The following is a 21,427-nucleotide window of genomic DNA, read 5'->3' as shown; positions in this document are numbered from 1 at the left end:
GTGCCGCCGTTGCTGTTGTTGCTGTTGGGCACGTAGGAGGGAGGCCCTGGGAGGGCTGAAGTCCCTGTCTGTCACCTCTGGCCTGGTTTTCTGTGCTGCTCTCCTCCCCCTTCTCTTTTTTTCTCTTAGAGTTTTGTCTTATTTCACTTTCCCCACTTCTTCTCTTTTTCCCCTGCCTTTTCCTTTTCTCCCCTTGTCTCATCCCTCCCTCTTCCCTGGGCTTTCTAGGTCTCCACCTCCCCATACGCCTCTCCTGGGTCCACCAGGAGCCCACGGTGCCTGTTTTCTGGGCCTTTCTCAGACTCTGCCCCACAGAATACTCCTCTTTGGGGTTCTTGCCCCTTGGGGGCCTGGTGCTGATCACCTTACTTCTCTGCTCCCACCTCCCTACACCCCTCTGGGGATTCGTTGGGGAGGCTTAGTTTGGCTTATTTCACTGTCAAGTTCAAGGGTGCTGTGATTCTGAACCTCTCACCCCCAGACCAGGGTGATGGGGAGATGGTGTGCTGCTTACCCCTCCTCCCCAGGACTGGTGCTGTGGTGGGTGCTTATGGAGTGTGGGGGCTGGTCTCCCCTTTCCTGAGTTACCGTGGATCCCTAATGAATTCAACAATCCTGTGCTTGGCTTATTGGGGACATAGACCTCTAACCAAGTCCTGTCCACCCACCCGGCACTCTTCAGCCCTGCCCTGTGCCCTTGGCTCATCTTTTCCATAGGGCCCAGCGGATAACTGCACCTGCTCTTTCTGCCAGGCCAGGCCAGGCCTGGGCTGGACCCAGGAAGAGCTCAGTACTTCTGTGAGCTCCCTGAGGATGAACTTCCTCCTGCTGCTGCCCTCAGGAGCCAGCACAGGGCCAGGCCTGGGAAGCGCTTAGAGCTGCCATGGGAAAGGGGCCTCTGCCACCTCCTGCCCAGACAGCAGGGCTGGCCTGTGGGAAAGCTGAGTGTAGGTCTGGTGGTGGAAGGTCAAACAGGTTGTGTGGGCTTAGAGGAGGGAGGGAGCGGTTTGATGGACTTCCTGGAGGAGGAGGCATGCCCTGAGCACAATGGAGTTAATAATCCCAGGTCATTATATGAAAAAAAGCCCCTAGCAGAATGTTTGGCACATAGTGAGCGCTTAGCAAGTGGTAGCTGTTGTCCCAGGGAGAAGTGCTGAGAGCTGGGTGAAGGCGCGGTTGTGAGGATGGGCTCCAGGTTAACTGGGCACTGCTGTATGGAGAGTTTGGGGAGCTGCAGACCTTCTCCAGTGATGAGGATGCGAGTAGGGTGGTGGTCATTCAGTACCCACTTACTAAAGCCCCTTCTGTGCTGGGAACTGCTGGCGGCATGGAGAGGACTGGCCCTAGGGGCTCCCGGCTTGTGCAGAAGTTGAGAGAAGCAGACCGTGGACATCCCATTCTAGCAAGTGAGACCCTAGGAAGGGCTGTCTATGCTGGGGGCTAGGCAGAAGTGAACAGAGCAGAACCAGGAGAGTGCTGGAGGGGATGACCTTTGGGTCTCATGATGGAGGAGGAAGGAAGAAGCCACAGAGGAAGCAGGAGGCATAGGACTGAGGCCCGGGCCCCTGAGAGTCCAGAGCATGATTGAGGAAGCGGGCAGCTGGGACAGTTTACCCCTGTGGAATGGAGACATCAGGGTGGGACACAGATGTCCACAGATCACTGGGCCGGCAGCCCTGATGGTGAGAGTCCAGGGGCTGGGATTGGGCCAGGTCCCTCCAAGACCTGTGTGACATCTTGTGGGGAGGTGGTGACTCTAGGATGGGGTTAGGTCTGGGTCCTCAGTCCTCTGAGGCAGTTCAGTGAAGCACACATTGATATGACCATATTGAGTGATCAGAATTGTGGGGAGCCCCAGGGAGGCCCCAGATCAGCCTGAGATGTGAGGGGAGGCCTGCGATAGTGGGGAGGATGGATGTATGATTTGGGCTTTTTATAGGAGGACTAGGAGTTGGCCAGGCAGGGGAGGGTGTTCCAGGTGGAAGGAACAGAGTATTAAAGGCCTGTAAGTATGCACTGATAGACTGCAGCTCAGTCAGGGAGGGCTGGAGTGTGAGTAGTGGGGTGAGTCCAGGGTCAGCCTGAGATATGCAGACTGCTCCACTCTGTGGCCTTCCTTCTCTCACAGTGACACCTGGTTCTTTCGGCCAGAGATTGGTATAGACAGAAAGATAGGAACGGGTAGGGGTGAAGGAGAAGGAGGTGGCATTAGAGGCCGCTAAGGCTATGAAGCTGGTTCCTGGCTCAGCCTGTAGGGCCTGGGTCTCCTTCAAGGTGAAGAGGTTCTGTTGATGCCATGTGCAAGTGGCCCTCCTTTACTGAATTATCAGTAAGCCTGGAGACTGAGGCTCGGAGAGGAAGGGACCTGCTCAAGGTCCCAAACCAATGAGTTGAGCTGAGTTCAAGCCCAGGTCTGCCTGGCTCCAAGCCCTGTCTCTAGTTAATTGAGTAACCACACATCTCATTTGACGTGGGACAGGCCCTGTTTATGCCTGCTGCCCTGACATAGTTATTAATAGTGCCTCTTTTAACTCTTAGAAGTGTTTGTGGTTTATACAATGAATTATGTGGTCATGGGTAAGAGGAGGGTGACCTTGGGCAGGGCAGTGATGTGTTCCCTCTCAGATGAGTCCTGAGACCTGGTGGCCCATGGGAGGAGACTGGCCTCAGAGAAGCCCTGGGACCCTGGCATGGCCTTGTTTGCTCGGCTGTGGTGCTGGGCTGCCAGGGTTCAAATACCAGCTGTGGCATCAAGAACAAATAATCCAACATCCCTGTGCCTCGGTTTCCTCCTCTGTAAAGTGGAATCATCACGAGCCTTACCTTACAGAGCACTGTGAGTAGATGAATGAAGAATCCATGTCAAGTGCTCAGAAAATGCCTGGGAACACATACACGTAGACACGCACACACAGAGTTAATGAATCCAGGTGTTTGTAAGTCCCTGCTGAGTGCTGGAGATACCCCAATGAGGATGGGATGTCCATGGTCTGCCTCTCAACTTCTGCACAAGCTGCACCCTCCTCTTACCCATTCTGCATTTTGCCTACCCACCATGTCACCTAACCCCCAGGCATGAGGTCTGCTGCATGTATTTTCTCTGATTCTATAAAATAGATTTAGGCTGAGGGCCCAGGCTGGGGTGAACCAACCCCTTAGCTGCCCGGGGTGCCTAGTCTCTCGGGAATAGTGGGTAAGCAGGTGGGTTCACATGCCCCTTGGGTAGAGGGGAGAGGGAGCTGCAGTGCGGGGTGAGTGGGGAGCAGCTCTGTGGGAGAATCTTGGAGGTTGCCTAGAGGAGGAGGCCGGCTGAGCTGCATTTTGAGGTGGAGGTGGGCTTCTGTGGGCTACGGGAGGGAGAGGGCAGAGGAGGATGAAACTGTGTGAAGGCTTGGAGGTGGCGCCATTGAGGACGTGGTCCAGTGGGTGACAAGTCAGTGGGTGACATCCAAGCCGGGCCTCAGCTGGACCTCGGGATTGGAGCGGGGCCTACTCTTAGGGGTGCAAGCAGTGAGAGGCTGGGACTTGGGCTATGGCGGGGGCATTCTGTGGGCCCTGTTCTCGGTAGGGGGTCACTGCCTTTTCCCTGGGGTTTTCCCACATGTTGTGCCTTCCTGAAAGCACTTCTCCTTTCCTGGGCTCCGTCCTGACTCAGCAGTGCCCTGATACCCTGTGGTAAGCAGGCAGGCAGGGAGCAGCCAGGAGACTTCCTGGAGAAGGTGGCTAGAATTTCCCAGATGCTTCCGAGAGGCCCCTGTGTTCCACCTTCGTGAGACACGGTCCCTTCCCTGTGGAAGCTCTGCTGGGAGAGGAGCCCTTTGCATCTGTTTCCCTCTCCCTTCTTGCCGTGGGCAGGGCAGTGATGTGTTCCCTCTCAGATGGGTCCTGAGACCTGGCTGCCCATGGGAGGAGGCTGGCCTCAGAGGAGCCCTGGGACCCTGGCATGGCCTCATTTGCTCAGCTGTGGTACTGGGCTGCCAGGGTTCACATCCCAGCTGTGGCACCAAGAACAAATAACCTAGCATCCCTGTGCCTCGGTTTTCTCCTCTGTAAAGTGGAATCATGACAAGCCTTACAGAGCGCTGTGAGTAGATGAATGAAGAATCCATGTCAAGTGCTCAGAAAATGGCTGGGAACACACACATGTAGACACGCATACACACAATTAATGAATCCAGGTGTTTGTAAGTCCCTGCTGAGTGCTGGAGTTACCCCAATGAGGAAGGAGGGTGTGGAGCTTGCTTCAGGGAACGTGCCTGCTGCCCAAGATGCACAGACCCGTCGCAGTTGATCAGGACAGTGATGGGAGATGCACTGTGGTGCCAGAGGAGGGGGGCTGATGCTGCCGGACCCCAGGGATGCGGACGAGCAGGTGGGCAGTTTTTATTTATGGTTACCACCTTCCCCTCAGCTCTGGCCCTCAGACCTGGGGGAGCTTTGGGAGCCAGGCTCCCTCAATCCTGCTTGGCATTGGAGAGATGGCACCTGTCCCCACCTCCCTGGACTGAGGTCTGACTGGCCCTGGCCTGACAGCTTGGAATTCTGCTCTCTGCTGATCCCAGGCCGGGTTTCCAAGGCGCCTTCCTCTTGGGCTCTGGGAGGCAGCAGTGATGGATTGATTTGCCCATCAAGAAGTCTCTAAGGGAATCGCAGGTGACCAGCTGGGGCCAGCACCCCAGCTCATGCTCTTGGGCCTTCAGGCACTCCCTCAGTTGCTTGGTCATCGTTCACCCCTTCCGTTGCCTTCCCTTCCACCTGCCCACCTGTCCACCCACCTTGTCCACATGCTATTGCTACTGACTGGGCTGCGGGGGTACCAAGTCAGATGCTGCCCCTGCCCCAAAGGGACTCAGGTCATGTAGGGGAGACGGCCTGGTGCAGTGCCCACCAGGGGGTCTTCATAGGTCCAGCTGTGAGAGTACGTTCCGACTCAAGACTCCCACAGGCCCACCCCTTGGCCCCAGATTCCCAGAGAGGCCCGTTGGGTAGGGAGCAGCTTGCCGCCAGGGCAGTGGCAGGCCTTCGTCTGCCATGGGGTCTTTGAAGCGATCCGAGCCACAGCCCATGCAGCTGTCCAGGAGCCATTCTCTGTGGCCCTCCAAGTGACAGCTCAGGAGTGAAGGACTGGGTCTCACAGTGGATAGTGACTCATAGGGAGCCATCCTGGCTTTGAAAGCTCTTACCTAAGGGGCCAGTAGTTTTCTAACATCCCCACAGGTGTGGCTTCAACTCCCTGTGTGCGATGTGCCCAGTTTGCAAGTCACCACACTGAGCGAAGCTCAAAGCTCCGGTTTCTCTACCAGATATAGAATCTGCTTATAGTTTCTCTCCGTCCAGATGCTGTTCCTCCACAGGCCATGCTGCCAAAGGCAGTGGTTGCCTGGTAACAGGGCTGACACGCCACCGTTTGCAGGTTTCTAGGGGAACAGAGCTGGAAACCTAGCCGAAGGCCAGCTCTTCACACAGAAGAGGAAAGGGTTTGGTTAACTTTTATCTACACCTGGAGAAGAGACAAGTATAGTAGAAGGTGATGTGGAAGTAGCCAAGTGTCCTAAGAAGCTCATAAACTTTGGAGTCAGGGTTCAGATCTTGGCACAAAGGAGATACTTTGAAAAATGTCATTTAGAATAATTTGTATGAAGATCTTTTTTTTTTTTTTTTTTTTTTTGAGACGGAGTCTTGCTCTGTCCCCCAGGCTGGAGTGCAGTGGCGCGATCTCGGCTCACTGCAAGCTCCACCTCCCGGGTTCATGCTGTTCTCCTGCCTCAGTCTCCTGAGTAGCTGGGACTACAGGCGCCTGCCACCACGTCCGGCTAATTTTTTTGTATTTTTAGTAGAGATGGTGTTTCACTGTGTTAGCCAGGATGGTCTCGATCTCCTGACCTCGTGATCCGCGCGCCTTGGCCTCCCAAAGTGCTGGGATTACAGGTGTGAACCACTGCACCCAGCCATTTGTATGAAGGTCTTAATGGAGAGCAGCATAAAGGAGGGTCAAGGAAGACTTTCAGAGAAGGGAAATGTGGTTTTAGAGTTAAAGGATTGCTTTGGGAAGCCGAGGTGGGAGGATTGCTTGATGCCAGGAGTTCAAAACCAGCCTGGGCAACATAACAAGACCCAGTCTCTACACCTTGAGACCCACCTACTCGGGAGGCTGAAGTCAGAGGATCACTTGAACTCGGGAGTTTGAGGCTGCAGTGAGCTGTGATTGTGCCATTGCACTCCAGTCTGCCACAGAGTGAGACCCAGTCTCTTAAAAAAAAAAAAAAAAAAGAAGTTAAAAAACTAGTGGATATTCCCAGGCAGAGAACAGGGAGAAGGGTGTTACTGGTGGAGGCAACAGCAGGAGGAAAGGCCTGGCATCATGACCACACCCCAGGCAGACCCTGTCACTGCCTCCCAGCCCTTCCTTGCTTTCACGGTAGCCCCACACCATCAGCCAGGAACACCAGGGCAACAGACAAGGCCAAAAATAAGCCATCCACCCTGATTCTCCTCCTTGGCCCCTGCAGGGCACTGGCAGAGACAGCTGGTGGGGCCAGGCCTCCAGGGCTCAGGCACCTTGTTCCAGCCTGTAGTCCCCGTGCATCCTGTGCACTGGCACATGACACATCCTGTCTTGGTTAATCCTTCTAGCACCCTGCCAGGTCAGTGATATAGCCCCCGTTTCACAGAAGAGGAAACTGAGGCTCAGAGGGGCTAGGTGCTCACCCCAGGACACACAAGAACTAAGAAACTAAGGCAGGATTCAAATTCATGTCCTTGATGCCACAGCCCTTCAGAAGACAGCCTGCCAGAAGCAATGTGATCTGTACTGAGACAGATGGGAACACTGTGGGGCCGTGAGAGCCCAGGAGGCCCTGAACTTGGCCTTGGAGAATCAGGGGAGGGTTCCCTGGGGAGTGGTAGCAGAGGTGAGTGAGTGGGGTGAGGTAGCAGAGGTGTGGGAGATGGGTCTGGTGGGATCAGGTGAGTTTGAGGAGTCTGAGGGCACCAGGAGGTAGTGAATATCCAAATCTGGGCAAGAGCAAGGTGATCTTGAGACAGAGACCCACAATTCAGGGCCTTAGGAATTGGTTTCTGAGGCTCTGGTCTGTGCCTCGGGCCTTGCAGCTCATTTCAATCCTGTCCCTTCTCTTTGCCGTCAATGCCTTCTTATCCTTAAAAGCTCAGGTCAAGCATCACCTTCTCCACGAATCCTTCCCTGACTCCCCATTCTGGTCTTTATCCCTCCTTCAGTGTGGAGACCCAGTAGATATATGTGACTAAAAGCTAGAGCACTGGGGATAGGTGAACACCTCATTCAGGCCAAAGAGGGTGCCTGCTTCCTTTAGGCTTCGGGGAACCAGGAGGGGTTTTGGTCTGGGAGATGAGTTGAGGAGGACTGTGTGCAGGAGGGCTCCTGTCTGTGTGAGTTTGTGTAGTGCCTGAGTTTTGCTGCAGTTCAGGTGAGCTGGGGGCTCAGTATGTTTCAGTCTTGGCTCTGTTGCTTAGTGATGCCCAACTTTTGTTGTGTTCCCAGCCTGCCCACTAAGGAGGAGGAGTCATTGCTGCCATCATTATCATCCCCTCCCCAGCCACAGTCTGAGGAGCCCCTGTCCACCCTCCCCCAGGGGCCTCCCCAGCCTCCCTCTCCACCTCCCTGCCCCCCGGAGATACCTCCAAAGCCGGTACGCCTGTTCCCAGAGTTCGGTGAGTGCTGCAGCCAGGAGATGGGGCTCTGGGTGGATGGCCTGGGATCCCTGGAATCAGGCCTCTGGAAGGTATGCAAGGATCACACTCCTTTCTGTGCAAGCCTGCCACCAGCCCACTGTGTGGCCCCGGGCAGGTCACAGCCTCCCTGAGCGCTATTCTCTTCATCCTCACAATGGAGACAGCACCCACCTCTCTGGCCTCCTGACCGTTAAGTGTGGGGCCATGGCCGGCTTTGCCAGTTACCCATGGTCTGATTTTCCATGGTGTTGGGTGGTTTGCTTTTCTTTTTTTTTTTTTTTTTTGAGATGGAGTCTCGCTCTGTCGCCCAGGCTGGAGTGCAGTGGTGCAATCTCCGCCCACTGCAAGCTCTGCCTCCTGGGTTCACGCCCTTCTCCTGCCTCAGCCTCCCGAGTAGCTGGGACTACAGGCGCCCGCCACCATACCTGGCTAATTTTTTGTATTTTTAGTAGAGACGGGGTTTCACCGTGTTAGCCAGGATGGTCTCGATCTCCTGAGTTCGTGATCTGCCCACCTCAGCCTCCCAAAGTGCTGGGATTACAGGCATGAGCCACCGCGCCTGGCCAGAGGTGGTTTGCTTTTCCTGGGGTTGGCCACATTTGTTGATTCTTGTTGCCTTTGACAGTCCTTACCCCAACCCCCAAGCTCACCACTGGCTCGGACCTCCTTGTGGTGTCCCAGCTTCTCCTCTGCCACCCTTTAGTACTGTCCTATGAGGCCTGGGGGTATAAATCGCACTTCCTGTCCCCTGTGCCTTTTTTTGAAAGCCAGGGGGAGGTGGGGATGGGGGTCTTGGCATGGGGGAGGCTTTGTGAAGCCCAGTGTGGTGCCCCAGGAGAGGAGGCCAGGCCCCTTGCCCTGAGGCCCCCCAACCCCTCTCTCACCAGATGACTCTGACTACGATGAGGTCCCAGAGGAGGGGCCGGGGGCCCCAGCCAGAGTGATGACCAAGAAGGTGGGGCCAGGCATGGGACTGTCTGCCTGTCAGGGTGTTGTGGGGGTGCCCAGCTGCCTGTCAGACCCTGAGGACTACCAGACAGAGAGTGGGCAGCCATTTCCCGGGAGGCTTCCCCTTCCCCCACCTCACTCTCTTGCCATACGGGGGTCAGGAGTCACGTGTAGCCACAGCGCTCTGGGCCAGGGGTCGGGGCTCTGGTGTGGCTCCCCCAGGCCCTGGCTGTATGTGGGTGGGCATGTGGCCTCCCCCCACCCTGTGTGTTAGGAACTCGTGTCCTGTCCCGGAGTGTCTGTCTCTGTTTCACTTCTTGTGTTCCCGTGTCTGTCTGTCTTGCATCCCTAGCCCGCAGTCTTTTTCTCTGTCCCTTTATCTTTCTGTTTTTGTCTGTGTCCTAGGTCGGTTTCTGCCACTGGCTCTCCTGTCCCTGTGATCTGGGTCTCTGTGTGGTCTCCGCTGGCAGGGGGAGGGGAGTGTGAGGAAACAGAACTAAAAGTGCTGGGCTGTGTGGGTCGGGGCTGTGTGGACAGAGGGGGCGTGGCAGCCCCGGGTGGGTGTGATCTGTGGCTTGAAGGGAAGGATGACGCTGAGTGGGTCTCGGGGGCAGGAGGAGCCCCCACCGAGCCGAGTCCCACGGGCCGTGCGCGTGGCCAGTCTGCTGAGCGAGGGAGAGGAACTGTCTGGGGACGACCAAGGGGATGAGGAAGAGGATGACCACGCCTATGAGGGCGTCCCCAAGTGAGTGTCCGGCCACCCTCCTTCCCACTGAGCCCAACCTCAGCCCGCCCCCTCCTTGCCTCCTCAGCCCGGCCCCCCATCCCCTCATCTCTCGCTAGTGGCGGATGGCATACCAGCAGCCTGAGCTTGTCCTTGCCCAGCACAATAGCTGCGCCACACCCCATGGACGGGCCGCCTGGGGGCTCCACCCCCGTCACACCAGTCATCAAGGCTGGCTGGCTGGACAAGAACCCACCGCAGGGGTGAGTGAGGCCTCTTGGGTCCTGCTGTGCTCTGCATGGGGGGGTGGGGGGCAGTGTCCAGGACCCCAGGACACTGGTATCACTCACTGATCTGAAAACCAGAAGGGCCTGCGATGATTTGCACAGGTCTCCCTCCAGGCACACTGTGACCACTGATGATTCCCTCCAGACCCATTTTATTGCCCTGAAAATTGGGAGATCGCTGGGCATAGTGGCTCACTCCTGTAATCTCTGCACTTGAGATACTGAGATGGGAGGTTTGCTTGAGGCCAGGAGTTTGAGACCACTCTGGGCAACATGGCGAGACCTCGTCTCTACAAATAAATTTAAAAACTAGCCAGGTGCAGTGGCTCATGCCTGTAGTTTTGGCTACTTGGGAGACTGAGGTGGGAGAAGCACTTGAGCCCAGGCATCTGAGGCTGTAGTGAGCTAGGCCTGTACTACTGCCTTCCAGCCTGTGTGGCAGAGTGAGACCCTGTCTCAAAAAAAAAAAAAAAAAAAGAGATGTGCTACTTTGAGTCTGACTTCAGTCACTCTTGCTGTAAAGTCCATCTTCTTGCCAGTGGCCATTTGGGATTCTTCCTCCCTAGAACCTGGCTGATCCTCACTCTGAGTGTGGCTTCTGAGGGCTGGGGTGGTCCTGGAACCTGTCCTCCTACCCCCGGTCATTTGCTTGTTGTCCCTCTCCCTCTCCAGATCTTACATCTATCAGAAACGATGGGTGAGACTGGATACTGATCACCTGCGATACTTTGACAGTAACAAGGTGAGGCCTGCATCAGTCCTGACGCGACCCCTGCTCCAGCCTAGGCTGGCCCCAACACTGGAGCGAGGTGGCGTCCCTCCCCAGAGGAGTCCTCGCCAGAGTTCTAAGTCTGACCCCTTAACCCATGTCCTCCTGGCCCTCTGCCTGCTGAGGGCTGCAGTCAGGGTCAGCACAGGGTCTTGTCTCTAACCAGCTGCAGGAGACAGGGCTGCAGACTTCATTTTGGCTGAGGCTGGGGGAGTCAGCGAGGTGCTGGGTCCCAAAATATAGTTCCTGTCTCTCCCCCAGGACGCTTACTCTAAGCGCTTTATCTCTGTGGCCTGCATCTCCCACGTGGCTGCCATCGGGGACCAGAAGTTTGAAGTGATCACAAACAACCGAACCTTTGCCTTCCGGGCAGAGAGTGATGGTGGGGAGTGTGGGGTGTTGTGTGTGTGTGTAGAAGAGGGTAGAGAAGACTGGAAGTTTGGGCAGAGGAGGGGGAAGAGAGTCATGGTGCATCTGCCCTCTCACATCACATCCGGGGAGGCATGCTGCCTTTGTGAGGTGGGCAGAGGAAGGGGGCACCCTCTGTGACCGGCTCTGTGCTTGGCACGGTCACTGACTCCTCAGAACCACACAATCAGCGGGAGCAGGCTTGGAGGGGTGAGGTCACTTGCCCAGCATCAGTGGCATAGCTGGGATTGGAGCCTGAGCTCGTTCAAGTCAGAGAAGTCAAGCAAAATGATGGGGGCATCTGAGTGGGCTTTCTGGAGGAGGTGTTGCATGAGGAGCCTAGGGCCAGGAGACCCCTGAGGGGCTCCCTGCAACCTTGGGCTTACTCCTCTACCCTTCTCCTGCAGTGGAGCGGAAGGAGTGGATGCAGGCCCTGCAGCAGGCCATGGCTGAGCAGCGTGCCCGGGCCCGGCTCTCTAGCGCTTATCTGCTGGGAGTTCCAGGCTCAGAGCAGCCTGACCGCGCTGGCAGCCTGGAGCTTCGTGGCTTCAAGAATAAGCTGTACGTGGCCGTGGTCGGGGACAAAGTGCAGCTCTACAAGAATCTAGAGGTGCTAAGGGGTCATGGAACCTCTCCCCTGCCCATGTCCACCTACCCTGCCCCAGGCTGACCTAGGGCCTTAGCCCTGCCTTTTCTGTTCCCTCTTTTCCTGCACTGGGCCCAGCCCTTTGCCTGGATATGTCCTCGCTCCCCCAAGTTCTGACCACTTCCCCCAGGCTCTGAGCACTGCCCTCCAGTCCCTGCCCTGGCCCTTGCTCCCCCGCACCTCTGTTCATTGCTGTGTGGGCCCTGAACCTGCAGCCCCTTACCCTGCCCAGCCTCCCATGTCCCCTGCTGTCTCCCTCCTGGGCACCCCCCCCAGTCCCTGAGTTGCACCACCTTCCCTTCCTCTCCCTGTCCCAAGCCTCACGCCCTGCCCCCAAAGCCTTGCCCTCATCCCGTCCCATCTGCCCTCCAGGAGTACCACCTGGGCATTGGCATCACCTTCATCGACATGAGCGTGGGCAACGTGAAGGAAGTGGACCGGCGCAGCTTCGACCTCACCACGCCCTACCGCATCTTCAGGTGACCCTCCATCTTCTTGGCTCACCGGCATCCTCACTCCTTCCTAATGTTTTCCTTTTGCGCGACGTGGGAAGCTGCCCCTTCCTATGGGATGGGTTCCCTCACCCTGCCCCGCCCTGCCCCACCTGTGGAGCCCCTCTCCCGTCACTTGCTAACCCTCTCTGATCTCCTTCCCTCCTGAGAGGTCTTACTCTCCCCTGTGCTGCTTGGCAACTGCTGTCCTCCCCTGCCCGCCATGCTGCTCAGGGGTTGCCCATCTGGCCTCCTGCTCCCACTGCCCCTGCCCCACTATCCCTGCGCCTACGCCACCCCTGGAGAGTGCTCTTGTCTCTCATGAGGCTGCTCCTCAGTCCTTGTCTCTGGGCCACCAAGCCTCTGCCATCTTGGTTTCCTCTGACCTCAGCTGTTCATTGGTGTCTTTCTCTGTCCTCTGCCCTCTCCCTGGGCAGCCTTGCCCACTCCCAGGCCTTCAGCCGCTACCTCTGAGGTACTGAACTATGCCTGGGTTCGAATCCTGGGTCCACCACTGACTAGCTGTGTGACCTGGGAAATCACTTGGCCTCTGTGTGCCTCAGTTTCCTGGGGAAGTGTTTGTAATACTGGGTAGTAACTGCTCAATAAACACTAGCATCACTCCCAACCCTTCCACTTCTCTGCTCTTAGTCCAGGTGTCTGTCTCCAGCGGGATCTTTCTGCTGAGCTCTGGCCTGCATATCTGACAGCTGTGGGCATCTCCCCTTTTCAGCTCCCTGTTCTTCCCAGAGGCCTGTCTCTCCAACCAAGAAGGAAGGACTCGTGCCTTTCCTTTTTTTTTTTTTTTTTTTGCTTTTTGAGACAGAGTCTTAGGCTCTGTCTCCCAGGCTGGTGTGCAGTGGCACGATCTCGGCTCACTGCAACCTCTGCCTCCAGGTTCAAGTGATTCTCCTGCTTCAGCCTCCCCAAGTAGCTGGGATTACAGGTGCACGCTACCACGCCCGGCTAATTTTTGTATATTTAGTAGAGACAGGGTTTTGCCGTGTTGGTCAGGCTGGTCTCGAACTCCTGACCTCAGGTGATCCACCCACCTCGGCCTCCCAAAGTGCCGGGATTACAGGGGTGAGCCACCACACCTGGCCTGTGCCATTCCTTTTTACCCCATCTGGCCCCATCCCTCTGCTGTCACCCTTCTAGCCCAGGCCTGGTGGGCCTTTGGCCCCAGCGCCTGCCTCCTCACTCTTGGGCCGCCCGTGCCTGTCCAGCCTCTTTACTCCAACTGCTTTGACTTCTGCGGGAGCCTTATATTTGAGAGCTAAGTTTTTATTTGCTCATTTCTTGCATTTGAAGTTCTCTTTGATGACATCCTTGCCCTGAGATTCTTTGCCATAGTCCTTAACTACCACACAGCTGCAGCCCCGCCTGACGGGCGTTCTCTGATTGTCAGTCTGAGAGGCCTGTCCGTTCCTGGGTTTCTTGTTGTCATCAACCCTAAAGAGGTAGACTTAGTGTTCTACACAAAGGGCCTCCCCCAGCTGGCATGAGTGGCTCGTTGCATTTGGGTGCAAGCACAGGAAGGTGAGCTTGGTGCTTGGCTCCACCTTTGGCAGTTTTGCGAATTCCACGTGCTAGGTTGTGGAGGAGGAGGTCTCCAGCACCTCCATAAAGTGGCATTAATGGCCATCACACCTCCAGCAGCGATGCCTTCCTTGGTTGTGGCAATGGGTCATGGGTGGAGTAGACTCATGGTCACATGTGTGACTCGGTGGTGGCAGGGAAAGAGCCAGAGGGGTCTTTTTAAAACTAAATTTTTTCAGGGACAGTCATCATTTATTGTTCAACCAGGGCCTCCCACCCTGAAGAGCAGGGCATGCTATAGCGGCCACAGGTGTCTCGGTATGTTGGGCCAGTGGAGTTCTTTGTGGAGTGGGGTTATGGAGCATGTCACATTTGGGGCTGGGACAGGAATGAGGATAGGGATGGCGGAGGAGTCTTTTAAAGACATCTCTGTACCCTCCCCTCCTTCCTACTTAAACCCTCTGTGGGTTCTCCATTGTCCTCAGGGTACACTTTGACTTCCTCTTCCTGATGCAGGCCTGTCCCTGTCCATCTCCCACCCTTTTCTCTGCCAGTCTGCCCTTCTGTCTCCTGGAATGCCCCCTGTGCAATCCTGCCCCTTTGCACATGCTGTTCCCTCTGTCTAGACTGTCCTTTCACCTCTTCACCTGGCTCAGCCCTTCTGATCTGTCGAATCTTAGCTCAGGCATCATTTTCTTCCCAGCAGCCTTCATTCTGCGGGCTGGGCAGAGCCCCCCACTGGGCTCCCCTGCCCCCATACGCTCTTGTGTTCCTGTTGTCCTTGCCTTTGTCCACACCTACCTTCCCTACCAGAGTGGGATGCCTCACTCTTTTGCCTAAGCGCTCCCAACACCTTGTCCCCCACTTCATTCTGTGCATCCTCATGCTGCCCCCAAATCCCTCTGAGTCCATCCCCACTAATCTCCCCACCCCTATGTCCCCAGCTTCTCTGCTGACTCAGAGCTAGAGAAGGAGCAGTGGTTGGAGGCCATGCAGGGAGCCATCGCTGAGGCCCTGTCTACCTCGGAGGTGGCCGAGCGCATCTGGGCTGCAGCCCCCAACAGGTTCTGTGCTGACTGCGGGGCTCCTCAGCCTGACTGGGCCTCCATCAACCTCTGTGTTGTTATCTGCAAGCGCTGTGCAGGTGTGTGCATGGGGGTCGGGGCACCAGGCAGAGGCATGGCGGGGTTGGCCAGTTGGGATGGCAGGTATCCTATCTGGAGGAGGGCCTGGAGCGGAGACAGCACTCAGAGAGCTGCTGTTGATGAGGCTTCTCCTGCACACCTGTGATTAGCTTTGAGTCCTTACATTGCCAGGCAGGGGTTCAACTTCTCCCATCACGGGTGGGGACACGGAGGCACAGGGAGAGGAAATGGCTTGTTCAGGGTCACCTGGCAAGTAAGTGAGCCCAGATTTGAGCCCAGGCTTGTTGGGGTCTGGTGTTCCTCTCATGTCAGAAGAATAGGGAAGGCCAGGCAAGAGGAGTTGGCAGGGGCCAGGCAGGGCTTTGCATGCAGAGGGAGGAGCTGGTTTTTGTCTGGAGGGCGATGGGAGGCGGGGACATGGTCAGATTTGTGGGTCAGACTCTGGCTGGTGGGTGAAAGCTGAGTTAGAGGGGCAAGACTGGAGACCAGTGAGGAGGCTGCCATAGGATCCAGGAGAGGGAGGAGGAGGAAGCCTGGCCTGGGGAAGCCGTGAGCATTTGAGGGCTGTTCAGGATCTATGGTGGAAAACTCTCTGACTGACTGGATGAGGAAGATGAAATGCGAGAGGGTTGAGCCCAAGGTTCATTCATCTGCTCAATCGAGGCCACTCATTCTGGCCACTGTGTGCCAGATGCTGGGGATTCTGTCCTCTTGGGAGCTGACGTAGCCCAGGTGGTGGCTGTGGGCTGCTGGAGGTGGGGATCCAGGTGGAGGAGCAAGTCTAGGGAAGTGTGCTGGGGAGGCCCTCTCTGAGGAGGTGACATGCCAGCTGAGATCTGAATGGCAGGAAGGAGTGGCCATGAGGACATGGGTGATGACAGTCTGGGTAGAAAGATGAAGGAGGGGAAGCAGGTAAGGAGTTGTGATCTAATTCTGGGAGCCACTGGAGGGTGAAAGCAGGGATTAGAAGTCAGGGATTTACATTTTAAAGAGATCACCTCTGGCAGGGCTTTGTTAAGAGTGGCCTGCAAGAGGCCAAGCATGGTTCCAGGGGGCCAGTTGCAGAGGGCTGGTGCAGGAGCCCAGGCAAGGATTACGGGGCTCAGTCCTGCCCTGTGGGGAGCAAGAGTACACGGCTGGATTCCAGAGCTGCCAGCAGGCCTACCCCCTGGGGCCTGCCTGTGGCCTCTCATCCCTGCCTGTCCCAGTAGACACTGGGGGTGGGTAAGTGCTCCCGTGAAGGGGGGGCCCAGGTGATTCTGGGTCTGGCCCTGTGTCTACAGGGGAGCACCGTGGCCTGGGCGCTGGCGTCTCCAAGGTGCGGAGCCTGAAGATGGACAGGAAGGTGTGGACAGAAACACTTATCGAGGTGGGGATGCCCCTGCTTGCCACCGATACTTGGGGTCTGCCCCATTCAACAGCTGTCTGGGTCTCCCAGCCCCCTCCCTATCTCAGTGACCACAGCACCTTGGAGCTGGAAGAGACCCTTTGTGATAATCTAGTGGGTGGGGATTTCGGAAAAGCAATTTTTGGCAAAGTCAGCAAACTGGCCAGTGAGCTAAGAATGTTTTTATAGTTGTAAAGTGTTATTTTTTTTTAAAGAAAAAAAAAGGAAGAAAATGCAGCAGAGACTGTATGTGTTCTGTAAAGCCGAAAATAATTACTATTTCGCCCTTTAGAGAAAGAATTTGCTAACTTCTGATCTAATTTCACTGTCATCCATTGAATAGATGTGTAAACTGAGGTCCTGGGCAGGGCTGTAATCTGCCTGAGATTACCCTGTAAATGCATATTGACCACCATCCCTGCCTCTTTCCATCCCACTTCTGGCTGACCCAGGGCCTTCTCCCCTACCTTGCACAGCCCCTCAGAGGCCCTCAGCCTCCATTTCATGTGAACTCACATGTACCAGTGGGTATATATATGTGTGCTGTGTGTGCACACACGTGTACATTTATGCCCCTGTACTGGAAACTCCCAGGTACCCATATGTGGTAGATATAGGGGAGAACCTGCAATGGGAGGGTAGACCCAGGCTGCAGACTCCAGACACTTGGAGTGTCACATCCGTTTCTCACCTCCCCACGGTGTGTTTGGCACATAAGTGCTAAGGACTTTGCATATGTTAATTAACTGACTTTCAGAACAAGCCAGGAGTTAGGATTAGAATAACCAGTTTACAGCCTTGAAGCCCAGGGAGAGAAAATAACTTGCTGGAAGACACAGAGTGAATCAGTAGTGGCAAGGACTTTTCTGCTTTGTTCTGTGCTGTGACTCCAGCACCCCATACAGGACCTGACAAGGAGGCAAGGTGGGGGGCCTAGGAAATGGCTGTGGAATGAGGAGCCGAATGAAGGAACTGATTACCAAATGCTGGATCCCTGCACTCACCCAGAATCCACCCCCATCCCTCTTGCCCAGAGAGGAATGTCAGGGATAGGAGAGGTTTCCAAAATCCCTGCCCACCCCATTGGCTGACAGGTTAGGCACCCATCCCCAGCTGTCACAGCCTCAGGAATGCAGAGCTCCAGATGTGGAACTGGGTGGGGCAGCAGCAAGGCCCCTGGGACCAGGTGCAAGGCCTGAGGCATCCACCTGTCAGTCTGCTGACTCCCTGTCCTGTCACTGAGCCTGAGACCTAGGCTCAGAGCCCAGTGCTGGTGGCAGGAGCATCCCCAGCCACCAGCAGGCCAGGCTGTCCTCACCTTCCCCATTGGGAAAGTGGGCAGATGGCCTGGCTCTCCCAGCCCCTTTCCTAACAACCTCAGAAACCAAGTTTCTGCCCGGCACGGCCCCTGGCTGTCAGCTGGCCCGTCTGACCTCCTGCACACCCCCACAGCTCTTCTTACAGCTGGGGAATGGCGCTGGGAACCGCTTCTGGGCAGCCAACGTGCCCCCCAGTGAGGCCCTGCAGCCCAGCAGCAGCCCCAGCACCCGGCGGTGCCACCTGGAGGCCAAGTACCGTGAGGGCAAGTACCGCCGCTACCACCCGCTCTTTGGCAACCAGGAGGAGCTGGACAAGGTCAGGGCACTGCAGCTCTGGGGCCCCTTGGGACCACCCCCGTCTTTCTGCTGCCCTGTTCCTCATGCTGTCTTAACCCATCTCATCTACCAGCTCAGGGAGATGTCTTGGCATATGGGGAAACTGATGTTTGGAGGGCAGAAGGGCCCTGCCTAAGCCATGTGAAAAGTTCTGGCCATGCAGGGAGGAGCCAGGCCTGACCCTTGGGCCAAGGGCACATCCCCAGCATCTGTCTGTCTCTCTCCCAATTCCTCAGTCTCCTGCACCCCGTCCGGTTGCTTCTGAATCCTGCCAAAAAGAGTGAACTTGATGGGGATGCTATTTCCTGTCAGGCTCATGAAAAACAGCTGGGCTGCTCTGACCCATCCCCATCCACACCCCACTCAAGATGAGGCCCCGCATGGGCCCCAGGCCCTGACAGGCTGGGAGCCAAGTCTTAGGCCCTGATCTGGCTCTGCCTGAGTGGGAGGCAGCCAGCTCCGAGGCAGGGGTATGCCATTTGTGACCTCTGGTTGGCCTTCAGCCCCTCCCCCAAACCGCCCCTCCCAGGCAGACTCAGTCCAGCTAGAAGCCCGGTGGGAGTCAGGCCTCCACCTCCCAGGGACCCAGGCGTCCTGCTCCCAGCCCAACCCAGTCTAGCCTGCAAGCCAGGAGGGCGGCAACTCCCATTGGTTGGGAGGGCTGGGCAGGCGGTGAGGAATTCAAATGTGGGAGGAATTAGCTACAAAGCACACCCCCCCCCCGGCTCCTCCACAAGGCAGAAGGAGCTTGAGATCCTCTGGAGGCTCTGGCTGACTGGGCAGCTGTGTCCAGGCAGCCAGCAGGGGTGAGGCCCCGGGCAGCTGGGATCCCCTGGCCTCTGCTAGGCAGCCCCTGCTCACCCCTCCTCCCCTTGGCCTCTCTCTTCCCTCTCCTTCTCTCTTTCTTCCTTCCTATTCTCTCTTTCAGTCTGAGGATGGACTGCTCCAGGCCTGGGTGACTCCTTCCTTTTCTTTCCTCTCCTCCCCCGTAGCCCCTTTCCTTGTGGGCCCCCTACTCCTTCTTGGGCTGACCCTCCCCTGCCTCTTCCTAGGCCCTGTGTGCTGCAGTCACCACCACAGACCTGGCTGAGACCCAGGCGCTCCTGGGCTGTGGGGCTGGGATCAACTGCTTCTCGGGGGACCCTGAGGCCCCCACGCCCCTGGCTCTTGCAGAGCAGGCGGGGCAGACGCTGCAGATGGAATTCCTTCGGAACAACCGGACCACAGGTGAGCGTGGCAGAGGGTGGGGGTCCACCAGGCTGTGCAGTGCCTGGTGGGGTTTGATTTACCTGCTGCTCTCAGGCCGTGATCGCAGCTCCTCAAGGGCCTGTGATAAATCATGTGTGAGCTGGGGTGTGCTTGGGTTTGCATGTCAGTGTGTATTTGTACTACGTATGCATGTTCCTCTGTGTCTGTGTCTCTGTGACTGTTGATGACTTCCCTGACTTGCAGTGTGGGCCCCTCAGGATGGCTGGCAGCTGTGCTGGTGTTTGTGCGCCTCTGAGCCCCCCGGATTTGTGTTTCTGGGGATGCTGAGAGCTTTGGAGTACATGCGTGTGCAGAGTGTGTCTGTGTTGCTGCGTGAGGGGTGCTGAGTTACATTTCTCCATGGGTGGGTCACCCACCTAGGCAGCCCTGTCTACTGCCCTGCTTGGGTGGAGCTCAATCCTGAACTTGGTTTGGGTACCATTGGCTCCCTCTTGGGGTGGGTGAGGAGGGGTCAGTGGGCTGAGCAGCACAGCTCGTGGCCCAGGCCTGGACTCTGGGGCCACATCCCAGGACTGAGGGTGGAGCTCAATGGCTGGGGCTCTGGGCTCAGGGCCATGGGTGGGCGGGGCACACTGGGCTGGAGAGAGCCCAGGTGTCCAGGGAGACACAGGAGACCACCCAACTGGCTTGGGCTTGGGGACAGATCACCGCCCCCCCACGGCGCTGACCGTGGGGAACAGGGCTGTAGTCAGGCTGCCACCTTGAGCTTCCCGCTGTCTGGGACAATCCTCTTTCCAGGGATTATTATTGAGTTTGCCCAATGCCCCCCTCATGCCAGTGTGCCTGGCCTATGCCTCCAACCTGGAGAGTGGGGTGGGGCAGGAATCAGGGAGGCTTCCTGGAAGGGGAGGTGCTGGAACTGGGCCTTGGGAGTGGAGTGAATTTCCACAAGTGGGGAGAGGTGGAGAAACAGCCTGGACAAGACCCTGCAGGTAGGAGGGGGAGCTTGAGGCTGCCAGTTAGGGAGCTGGGGCTGATGATTCGAAAGTGAGCCTGAATGCCCAGGCCAGGTGGGAGTGAGGTGGGGACACCCTCTTGGGTGGCCAGCATGACCTGCCATCCTTTCCCCGCCTACAAAGAGGTGCCTCGGCTGGACTCGATGAAGCCCCTGGAAAAGCACTACTCAGTTGTCCTGCCGACCGTGAGCCACAGTGGCTTCCTCTACAAGACTGCCTCTGCCGGCAAGCTGCTACAGGACCGCCGGGCCCGGGAAGGTGGGTGCCACCCCAGACTCTGCTTTAGCCCATGGCATCTGGTCACGGCTGCAGGGCTAGGGAAGCCAGGGCTGGCCAGACTGGTGGACTCTGGCAGAGTCACCCTAGAGGGCTTCCTGGATATAGTCTGTGGTACACAGTAGGTACTTCCTAAATGATCCTGGTGGGAGTGGGGGTAGTGCATGACACTGCAGAGCAGGTCAGTGCCAGAGTTTCTTTGGACTAAATGAGCCTTTATTGAGCCCCTACTGGATATGGGCTCTGCTGAGCATCTGGTAGTAAGAGCCTGTGGCTGGTAGGGAGTTTGAGGACTGAACGAAAGCCCTATCCATCTGATCTCAGCCTTCCATTCACTCCCCAACTCAGAAGAAAATCCACAAGAGCCCGCACAGTTGGCCACCACCCCCATTACCTCTCTGAACCACCCCCCTAATCACTCTGCCGGTCTCCTCACTGTTTCTCAGACACGTCGTCACCTACCAGGATCTTTGCCTGTGCTGTTCCCTCTGCCTGAAATGCATTCCCCCAGGTATCTGCATGGCCAGTCCCTCACTTCCGTCAGGTCTCTGTTTCAGTATCACTCCTGCAGAGATGTCATCTCTGACTACCTTATGCAAAATAGCACCCCCCATCTCTCCCTTTACCCTTTTGAGATGGAGTTTCGCTCTTGTTGCCCAGGCTGGAGTGCAATGGCGCGATCTTGGCTCACCGCAACCTCTGCCTCCCGGGTTCAAGCAATTCTCCTGCCTCAGCCTCCCGAGTAGCTGGGATTACAGGCATGCGCCATCATGCCTGGCTAATTTAGTTAGTAGAGATGGGGTTTCACCATGTTGGTCAGGTTGGTCTCAAACTCCCGACCTCAGGTGATCTGCCCGCCTTGGCCTCCCAAAGTACTGGGATTACAGGCGTGAGTCACCACGCCTGGCTACCCTGCATTTTCTTCACACCACTTACCTGGTACTCATTTGTCCATTAATGTACTTATCTATAGATTCTCTGTACCCCACTGGGACATAAACTCCTTTTGGCCACCACTGCCTGTAGCCCCCAGATCCTAGAACAGTGGCTAGCACACAGTGGGCACTTGGCAAATACCTGCAGAATGAAGGATGACTCAGGCAGAGCTGGTGCTCCTGGAGGGAGCCCACCTGCGGGGACAGGCCTGAGGACACATTGCTCTCAAAGAGCACATGTCAGGCCCTCACAGACAGGATGAGAGACAGAGTCTGCTGTGG

The 21,427-nt window shown here is 56.7% G+C and overlaps 1 protein-coding gene, 1 long non-coding RNA gene and 1 pseudogene across 6 annotated transcripts in view, besides 10 other annotated features; 1 reads left to right on the top strand and 2 right to left on the bottom strand.

Moving 5' to 3' along the window:
• Positions 1 to 21,427, top strand: part of ARAP1 (ArfGAP with RhoGAP domain, ankyrin repeat and PH domain 1) — a 67,340-nt gene that overhangs the window by 30,568 nt on the left and 15,345 nt on the right. For 3 of the 5 annotated variants that reach the window (NM_001040118.3, NM_001369489.1, NM_015242.5), the window contains 13 exons: positions 7,520 to 7,689; positions 8,598 to 8,665; positions 9,273 to 9,403; positions 9,502 to 9,645; positions 10,342 to 10,411; positions 10,700 to 10,820; positions 11,254 to 11,456; positions 11,865 to 11,971; positions 14,467 to 14,666; positions 15,951 to 16,036; positions 17,507 to 17,689; positions 18,762 to 18,936; positions 20,058 to 20,192. In NM_001040118.3, coding sequence (NP_001035207.1) covers positions 7,520 to 7,689; positions 8,598 to 8,665; positions 9,273 to 9,403; positions 9,502 to 9,645; positions 10,342 to 10,411; positions 10,700 to 10,820; positions 11,254 to 11,456; positions 11,865 to 11,971; positions 14,467 to 14,666; positions 15,951 to 16,036; positions 17,507 to 17,689; positions 18,762 to 18,936; positions 20,058 to 20,192 — 1,793 coding nt within the window. The remainder of the gene's footprint in view (positions 1 to 7,519; positions 7,690 to 8,597; positions 8,666 to 9,272; positions 9,404 to 9,501; positions 9,646 to 10,341; positions 10,412 to 10,699; positions 10,821 to 11,253; positions 11,457 to 11,864; positions 11,972 to 14,466; positions 14,667 to 15,950; positions 16,037 to 17,506; positions 17,690 to 18,761; positions 18,937 to 20,057; positions 20,193 to 21,427) is intronic. The other 2 variants (NR_161388.1, NM_001135190.2) reach the window with 2 other exon arrangements.
• Positions 2,258 to 2,327: an enhancer, noted in NCBI's record as "active region_5194". NCBI's record gives its function as "activates an Ori minimal core promoter by ATAC-STARR-seq in GM12878 lymphoblastoid cells {active_cell/tissue: GM12878}" and the evidence as "EXISTENCE:reporter gene assay evidence [ECO:0000049][PMID:35858748]".
• Positions 2,558 to 2,637: a silencer, noted in NCBI's record as "silent region_3725". NCBI's record gives its function as "represses an Ori minimal core promoter by ATAC-STARR-seq in GM12878 lymphoblastoid cells {active_cell/tissue: GM12878}" and the evidence as "EXISTENCE:reporter gene assay evidence [ECO:0000049][PMID:35858748]".
• Positions 3,412 to 3,912: an enhancer, noted in NCBI's record as "H3K4me1 hESC enhancer chr11:72428974-72429474 (GRCh37/hg19 assembly coordinates)". NCBI's record gives its function as "activates a minimal SCP1, AML or CMV promoter by ChIP-STARR-seq in primed H9 embryonic stem cells {active_cell/tissue: H9 hESC(primed)}" and the evidence as "EXISTENCE:reporter gene assay evidence [ECO:0000049][PMID:30033119]".
• Positions 4,217 to 4,717: an enhancer, noted in NCBI's record as "H3K4me1 hESC enhancer chr11:72428169-72428669 (GRCh37/hg19 assembly coordinates)". NCBI's record gives its function as "activates a minimal SCP1, AML or CMV promoter by ChIP-STARR-seq in naive H9 embryonic stem cells {active_cell/tissue: H9 hESC(naive)}" and the evidence as "EXISTENCE:reporter gene assay evidence [ECO:0000049][PMID:30033119]".
• Positions 7,458 to 8,037: an enhancer, noted in NCBI's record as "H3K4me1 hESC enhancer chr11:72424849-72425428 (GRCh37/hg19 assembly coordinates)". NCBI's record gives its function as "activates a minimal SCP1, AML or CMV promoter by ChIP-STARR-seq in naive H9 embryonic stem cells {active_cell/tissue: H9 hESC(naive)}" and the evidence as "EXISTENCE:reporter gene assay evidence [ECO:0000049][PMID:30033119]".
• Positions 8,619 to 9,199: an enhancer, noted in NCBI's record as "H3K4me1 hESC enhancer chr11:72423687-72424267 (GRCh37/hg19 assembly coordinates)". NCBI's record gives its function as "activates a minimal SCP1, AML or CMV promoter by ChIP-STARR-seq in naive H9 embryonic stem cells {active_cell/tissue: H9 hESC(naive)}" and the evidence as "EXISTENCE:reporter gene assay evidence [ECO:0000049][PMID:30033119]".
• Positions 11,498 to 12,200: an enhancer, noted in NCBI's record as "H3K27ac-H3K4me1 hESC enhancer chr11:72420686-72421388 (GRCh37/hg19 assembly coordinates)". NCBI's record gives its function as "activates a minimal SCP1, AML or CMV promoter by ChIP-STARR-seq in naive H9 embryonic stem cells {active_cell/tissue: H9 hESC(naive)}" and the evidence as "EXISTENCE:reporter gene assay evidence [ECO:0000049][PMID:30033119]".
• RPS12P20 (ribosomal protein S12 pseudogene 20) lies at positions 13,276 to 13,655 on the bottom strand (annotated as a pseudogene).
• Positions 15,290 to 15,876: an enhancer, noted in NCBI's record as "NANOG-H3K27ac-H3K4me1 hESC enhancer chr11:72417010-72417596 (GRCh37/hg19 assembly coordinates)". NCBI's record gives its function as "activates a minimal SCP1, AML or CMV promoter by ChIP-STARR-seq in naive H9 embryonic stem cells {active_cell/tissue: H9 hESC(naive)}" and the evidence as "EXISTENCE:reporter gene assay evidence [ECO:0000049][PMID:30033119]".
• Positions 16,234 to 21,367, bottom strand: ARAP1-AS2 (ARAP1 antisense RNA 2). The gene is made up of 2 exons (NR_146780.1): positions 21,288 to 21,367; positions 16,234 to 17,977 (listed from the first exon to the last, which is right to left on the bottom strand). It is a non-coding gene; the product is annotated as an ARAP1 antisense RNA 2 (long non-coding RNA).
• Positions 16,954 to 17,790: an enhancer, noted in NCBI's record as "H3K27ac-H3K4me1 hESC enhancer chr11:72415096-72415932 (GRCh37/hg19 assembly coordinates)". NCBI's record gives its function as "activates a minimal SCP1, AML or CMV promoter by ChIP-STARR-seq in primed H9 embryonic stem cells {active_cell/tissue: H9 hESC(primed)}" and the evidence as "EXISTENCE:reporter gene assay evidence [ECO:0000049][PMID:30033119]".
• Positions 20,722 to 20,821: a silencer, noted in NCBI's record as "silent region_3724". NCBI's record gives its function as "represses an Ori minimal core promoter by ATAC-STARR-seq in GM12878 lymphoblastoid cells {active_cell/tissue: GM12878}" and the evidence as "EXISTENCE:reporter gene assay evidence [ECO:0000049][PMID:35858748]".

This window comes from Homo sapiens, chromosome 11, assembly GCF_000001405.40.
Source record: "Homo sapiens chromosome 11, GRCh38.p14 Primary Assembly".
Taxonomy (NCBI): Eukaryota; Metazoa; Chordata; class Mammalia; order Primates; family Hominidae; genus Homo; species Homo sapiens.
Note: the sequence above shows the minus strand (reverse complement) of the source record. Positions and strands in the feature narration are given on the sequence as shown.